This window comes from Homo sapiens, chromosome 12, assembly GCF_000001405.40.
Source record: "Homo sapiens chromosome 12, GRCh38.p14 Primary Assembly".
NCBI classification, from domain to species: Eukaryota; Metazoa; Chordata; class Mammalia; order Primates; family Hominidae; genus Homo; species Homo sapiens.
In genome coordinates, this window is record NC_000012.12 from 58,550,677 (window position 1) to 58,558,189 (window position 7,513).

At 40.2% G+C, this 7,513-nt stretch overlaps 1 long non-coding RNA gene across 1 annotated transcript; it reads right to left on the reverse strand.

Annotated features, from left to right (window-relative positions):
* Positions 1-412: 412 nt before the first annotated feature.
* Positions 413-6,651, reverse strand: LOC105369789 (uncharacterized). The gene is made up of 3 exons (XR_945007.3): positions 6,059-6,651; positions 3,024-3,095; positions 413-486 (listed from the first exon to the last, which is right to left on the reverse strand). It is a non-coding gene; the product is annotated as an uncharacterized LOC105369789 (long non-coding RNA).
* Positions 6,652-7,513: the final 862 nt, after the last annotated feature.

A 7,513-nucleotide genomic window follows, 5' to 3' on the forward strand; every position in this document is an offset into this window, starting at 1 on the left:
TGGCTAATTTATTTATTTATTTATTTATTTATATTTTTTGTAGAGATGGGGCCTTGCCATGTTGTCCAGGCTGGTCTTAAACTCTTGGACTCCAGCAATCTGCCTGCCTCAGCCTCCCAAAGTGCTGGGATTGCAGGTGTGAGCCACTGTGCCTGGCTTGTCTTATTGTCTTATACATCAAAACAAATAATGCACAAACATACAAAAATATTCACCTTTGAATCCCATGCCTTCCCAAGATTACTGGCAATATTATCCATTCTTTTATGTTAGTTCAGAAACAGGACTTTGTGCTCTTTCTTACTGACAGAGAACTACACTAGTGGGGTTCACTTGCCTCATGTGCTGGGAGAAGAAACGTAGAAGGCCCTCCTCAAAATGTCTCAGGTCCTCTGTGCGGGGCCATGTTCATCACAGAGTTTACATGTGGATTCCAAACGTCTTACTGTGACTGTCAATAACACCCTTTCATGAGTTGGAAACTTCCTATTATTGCAGAAAAGATGAGGCAAAACAACCATTTCTCACCCTTTCCTTTCAAGAGAAATGGCTCAGCAGTTGCAAAATTCATTCCTGCACAACTATGGGCCTGTAATAACCTTGATTGGTTTGGTAGATTTATCTGCTGACAGACCATAATTGAGGAAAACATTGATTAATTGATCTCTGACTGGCTTGTGAGGTGCTATATAGCAATAAGGAATATGTGGTATGTAGATCAGCTTTTAATTATTTTTGTTTAGGTTCCTGTCAGATTAAATAAGTGACTAGGCAGTATTATCATTGATCTGTGGCACTGGAAGAAATAGTTCACAGTACATGCTGAAGATTTAGAAATGGTTCATCCTACAAGTTTAGAATGCATCTTTGCCTTATAAAGCTTTGACCTATGTAAAATCCAGATTATGCTAACAAGTTCAATTTGTGCAAAGCTTTGCAGCTTACAAATCATTTTCTCATGCATCATCCTACTTGACCCTCATGACAAATCTGAGAGGTAGGGTGGGCAGGTGTTACTATTCCTCCTTTACAAGCAAAGACAGTAAGGCTAAGAGATTTCCCCCATCCCCACCCCAAGTAATAACACCTTATTTTAATTTGCAGAGTATGGAAAGCAAAGGAAAATTAGAAATTATTTAGCAAATTCTAGCTGGTTAAGCATGTGGAAGGCATTAATCACCACCCCAAACAACACCATACTCATCAATATTGTTTCTTACCATTAAATGTGCTGAAATAGAAATTGCTATTTTGACAATGTGAAGTATTATTACAAGGATTTGAGTTTGCTAAAAGGCCTTATCTCCTTCAATTTGATACTGTGTACAGGAAAAGCTCAAGATAATAACCCATTAACCACAGTTATTAAAGGTTTTCCCGCTGTATTTACAAAACTCATGAAAAAAAAATCGTTATTGACAGAACTAGCCAAAAATTAGTACAGATCCTTGACACTCAGGGAAACAGAGGTCAAATATAGAATATTAATATTGAACAACATGTGTACTATACAATCAAAGAAGAATTACTGAGCATTTTCATGCCCAGAAGTATGCTGAGTGCTGTGGGAATTTAAAACAAGCTCCTCACCCAGACAGTTTACAATCTAGTTAGGTGTTTACCATTGAATAATCTATGCAGATCCCATTCTTTAATGAGGAGCAAAGAGCCAGGAGCATATGGAACAATAAATGTTCTGGTAATATTAAAGACAATAACAAGCAGAAGTAAAGACAGTTTTTTCCTGCCCTGTTTTCCTGGGCTAATTTGTCAGAGCATCGTAGTCTGAACAAAAGCTGTGCCAATAGGAATCTGTACTAAGAAAGCAATATTTTCATCCTTTTTAATGTCAGTCTGCAAGCAAAAGTGACAAGTGGTATCATTCAATGAAAGGTCAGGGGGACAAAAGCATGCAGCTGAATTTGTTTAGGGCTTACCTTATCTTTCTTTGATAAACAAAACAATTGACCTAAGTCTCATAACCTGAAGCTCTTCACATCTTACTAAACTGCAATCATGAAGTTGAAGATGATTATAATGATTATTTTTTCTTCATACCCTTCTCTCTGAAGTAGCTGCAGAGTTTTCAAAGACAAGCATGATTTCCAAAAGAGGATCAGTTTCCTTTTCATTAGAAAATGCATAGTTTTGCCTTTTTGCAGAAATTGAAAAAGATTAATAATAGGGGTGGTTCAGAAATAAGAATTACCACCTTGGAAGGAAAAAGAGACAAAGGAATCCATAGTAGGGAAGGGAGATTTGACATGACTGTGATGTCCAAGCTACCCACAGAATCAAGGGTTGCTAGAAGGGTAATTACAGTTTTGGTTCCCTTGGCAATAATTAAAGGATTAGTGGTCCCAGGGAGGGCAAAAGAGACAGTGTCAATAGAGTAAAAAACGCTTTCTTCGATACCAACAGACATTGACAAATAGCTCTTGTCTAGAAAGCAAGATTTTGTTCTGAGTCCTGGTATCCCTGGCCCCAGTACCTCCATTCTGCCCACCCATTTGCATCAGATGTGGCTGAGATCCCTGCTCCTCCTTCCTACCCTTCATTGGATCCTCCAACTTTCTTCAGGATGTTTATGGATACTTACTGCTTTTGCTTCTGTCCCCATTGTACTGAATAAGTCTTGAGGGAAGCATAATGGTAGACAGAAACTAGATGGCCAGCAAGGAGCTCAACGGTGCCATGGTGTGGTTGAGTGCATTAGGGATAGAGCTGGGGAGACCTTGACATTTTCTAGAGATAGGGAAATAATAAAAACCTGCAGGGACAACAGAGGATGGTGCCTAGCTCACCCACCTGATAGGAAACACCAAGTAGGGCTGATAGGAGCAGTCAGCACAGACCCAAAATTCAGTGTTGAAAACCAGTGGAAAGGCAAGACTCTCAGTCATGGTCAAATAGCTTGTATTAAACTAACCCATTATAGATGATGGAGAGAGACCACAAGCTAGCAAGAACTGAAGGGGATTTAACCCTGCAAGAAGCAACCACACTGGGTGAAATTCACATACATAAGGCTCCTTCTCTGAAGGTGCTTCTTCCTGTCCTCAGGAAGCTTTTGAGAAAGTCACAGTCTTGTTGATCTGAAAAAATAGAGGGCAAAGTTTAGAACTGTGGGGTGGCTGGAAATTGAGGCAAAATATCTCTGAAAGGAAGGAGCCAAACAATCTGGAAAACTTATCCTATTATCGATTTCAGAACTTTTTATTAAGCTACAACAATTAAGACAGGAGGGTAGTAGCAGCATAAGGACAGAACAAGAAAGAAATGGAGCAGAATAGAGAGGATAGAAATACATCCATATATGCATATAGTCAACTGATTTGTTAAACCATGGACCAAAGTAATTTAGTTTAATGGGAAAAAGATAGTTATTTTTAAAAAATGTATTGGAACAGCTGAATAAACATATGAAAAAAATGAATCTCAATCTTTACTTCATATTATACACAGAAAACAAATTTGAAGTGGATGGAAGATTTAATTAATTTCTAAAAGTTTAAAGGTTTTAGGAGAAAATGTGGAATATTTTTGTAACCTCAGGAAAAGACAAAGATCAATTCTTTATCAATACGGACTCTTGGCTCTTTATCTTACTCAATGATATAGAATTCATTAAGCCAATATTCAATTTGATGTTCAATTATCATATTTGACCAGAAGGAACCCCTAAAACAGAATTCCATATGTTTTTGACATACCCCCATTTTTCTTTGAGTGCTTCTGCATTTTCTGACACAACAAAATATTCCAGACTTGTTTTCTACTTTCCTTCCCTAAGCTCTAGAATCAGCTATTTCTTTAAGAACCTCTGGCTCCTTTTAGCAAAGGAATGGTATAAAAACGAGATCTGGGTCCTTACTCTGCCCAAATAAACAGCTGTTGTATTTGATTTCATGGTTGGTGGGACAAGGGATATGGATTTCCACTGGAGGATGTCCACTGGAGAACATTTGCCCTTCTCACATGAAAGCCATGGTGTGAGCAAAGACTGGCAGGAATGTAGTTTCCTCTGGAGACAGTGAGGATATCAGATTGGTGGGTGAGTGGCGGAGAAGGCTGGACAGGGTGAAGGGAATAGTTCTAACTGAAAGACATGAGGATTTCCTGTTAAGCAGCCAGCTCCCCTTGCCTTCACCTGGACACAAGACTGACCACAGAAGAGGGGCTGGCTGCCCATTCATTTTTAGCAGAGTCAGTTGTTCAGCTAGAGTTCTGAGGCATGCTGAGAACAGAAAACTCTCAACTTGATATCCTTCCAAAGACAACTCCATAGTTTCGAGGTTAGGAACAGAATGCTCAGAATTGGGCATTCATTTTCTCGAGGTCAGTAACATATCTTCAAATTCTCATTTGACGGTCTCCATGGTACTCCAAATCAAGTTAGAATTAATTTGAAACTCATTTCTCTTTCAGGTCTAGGTCTGATAATTTTCATTCATTTCTTTCATGGACATGGTGACTCTTTTCTTGCCATCCTTAAGGAGAAAAGCCATGGACACTACAAAATCTTTGAGGTTTGAAGTGGGAACTAGGAGATTCAGGCTTGAAGATGAACTAGAATTGGAGACAGGGTAGGGGAAATATGAAAGGCCCTCTTATTGCAAGTTTTAGGAGCCACTAAAGCATAGGCTTTAGATTCTTTTGATAGTGATGTCACTATTGACATGCAAACCAAGAATTAACTCGTAACAGGACCCACTAGAATGAGCACTTATTGAACATTGCATGCACTGCTCATTATGCTAAATGTTTTACATGTGGTCTTTCATTTACTCTTCCTAGCAACCTTGTAAAGTAGGTGTTGCTATATGAGTTTTATACTTGCAGAAACCAAGGCCTATGAGGTTGTTTTAGGTTCAATTCTGCTGGGAATATATTCCGTGATTTGTGTGCAGAAGATTCGTTGAGTAGTGCTGAGCAGCATTTGTAAAGGAGAGAGGAAAGCATGGCTGAGCAGAGGAACAAGTTGAATTGAGGTGATGCGACTGAGGCCTCAGCATCTCCCAAGGAGAGCTGGTGGTAGGATGACCTCTCAGAGTTCTGCCATGTCAAGGCAAGGGTGCTGGCCCTTCGAAACCTCTCTTCATTAGTCTTTGGATATCAGCTGACCCTGAAGAGGGGCAGCTTAATTTAGATGAGGGCAATTCCTAAATCTGTCATCAGCATGCATTCTCAGAAGCTAGGGGAATGAGTGCTTCAGTCTTAAAGGAAGGGGTCTAGATGGGACATCACACCATCTGCCACAGTTTGTTATTTGGATCCATTGGTTTTATATACTAAGATCCCCACATCTGAAAACAACTACTTCCCCCAAATTCTGATTGTTTTTGTTTCCCTATGAAAGTTAAAGGAGGAAGGTTTGTGGGACCAACTCAGCCTCTTGCCACAGTAGCTTCTGAAACTCACTACTGATACTCTTCTTCTTCCTCTAGTACTTATTTTAGATTCTCCTTGTCCGTGGTTAATACTACTGCAATTTAACGTGGCTTACTTGGCAGGATGACCCATATCCTCATCCTTCAGGGCTCTGAGCCCTTGGTTCTCATAGCTTTCTCAGGCTATGGGTGCTATATACATCTCTGTTTTCCATTGAAATTGGGTAGGTAAGTACCAAGAAATGCCCAGTGGATTATTTGGGTTCCAATCATATTATTCCTTGTCCTCATTGTATAAAAGCAGTCCTGTGCCTCCTCCTTATAATCGGTTAGTTACTCTTGCCCATTTAATGACCCTTTTCCTTGCCTACTGGTCTCTTGGCACTGAAGACTCAAAGAAACTGTGTGACAGCTGCAGCTTAATGTTAAATAGGGCTCTACCCAAGTCTCCTGATAGAATCATTCCCATTCTGGGAACCAGTACTTCTAGATGCACACAGCCTAAAGCTGCAGTGTTTGAAAGTACAAATTTTTCAGGCATATCACCTAGAATAATTGTATGAGGGCTCTCTACTACCTCCCGGCCATGCTTCCTGGACCTATGGGACTACAAAACCATATAACGGTGATTGTTTTAAGGTAGGTACTACATCCTGGAAGATGCTCACCCTTCTCACTGAGCATCATCTCCAAGGTGGTGCCTCAGCAGTGCCTCCCCAAGGCTGCTCCGTTGCTCTATCAGGCCTGCAGCTGCTGTAAAGTGGGTCCTTTGTTCCGAAGGGATGTCCTGCAGTATCCCCTGTCAGAGGAACAAATACATATAAGCCTTCAGATAGTCTGCTTGGCAAGGTCCTGTGGTTCAAAAGGGCAAATCCATACTCCAAAACAGGACACCCTATCTGGGAGCATAGAAGGGAATTTTTCCCACTCATTGAGGGCAGTGACATTTTGATGGAAGGAAGGATAATGGGGTGGCAAGTTGAGTCCCAGAAACAGCAATAATAAGTCTTGAGAAGAAATCTAGGGTAGATGCTGTGGAAGCAGGAGCCGTCCAGGGATGGCATCATGTTAGGTCTTTAGATGGCAGACAGCAAGGCTCCTGCAGCAAGGGAAGGTTGGGGGCTCCACAGAGAATGCATGGTTGGAGTAGGGATTTGAGTTAACCTGCCTTGGAAAGAGAGAAGACCCAGCCATTCCCCTCCAGTCAGAGATGAAGCCTATTTTTGTTAGCATTGTTAGTGATATTAGTCACATCCCTTGATTGTTTGCCTCTACTTCTTCAGGGCTTCAGAATCACGAGTTACACAAGTTTTATTACTTAAGTACAGTCTTAATAGTGTTGGTGGTGGGGTCAGGGTTAAAGAAAGAGTCAGATCCTTCGTGTGGCTATGGGTCTGTGGTGAAGATTCAGAGAAACTTTGCCCATTTTACTTGTACTTCAGTTTCCAGAGTTTGAAAAATCACAGGGAAATCAATCAGATGCGATTTGGTATGTTGAAAGGTCTGATTCTAACACAAATATTTTCAGAAGGAACATGGGAAAGGTCAAAAATTGTCAGCTCGGTGAATATCTTTTGGTGATAATACTTTCCAGCAGTAAATTTCCACTGGTTCTCTCTCTTTTTGTCAGTTGAACAAAGCACTTGCATGCTTTGCTGGTTTCTAACTAATGAGTTAGCTTTGCTCTTTTAAAAAAGTAATATATAATAGAGAGTATCCACTGAGTCAATAAACCTTTAATCGGAAGTGTCTTAATGACAAACAGCAGAGAATCACATGAAATAAGGTTAAAGGCTCTTAAATTGAATCATAGTTCTGGTGTTGAACATTTCCACAGGGATACAAAAATAATAAAAGGGATCATGTCATATTTGTTGTGCCTAAGGAAGTACAAAGATATTTGTTCCATATGTCCTCCTCTTTAGAATTTTAAAGTCAAATGACTTAAAAATCCTCTTTTAAATAAAGGCATTTAACTATACAATTTTTTTTTTTTTTTTTTTTTTTTTTGAGACAGAGTCTTGCTCTGTCGCCCAGGTTGGAGTGCAGTAGCGCAATCTTGGCTCACTGCAAGCTCCGCCTCCAAGGTTCACGCCATTCTCCTGCCTCAGCCTCCAGAGTAG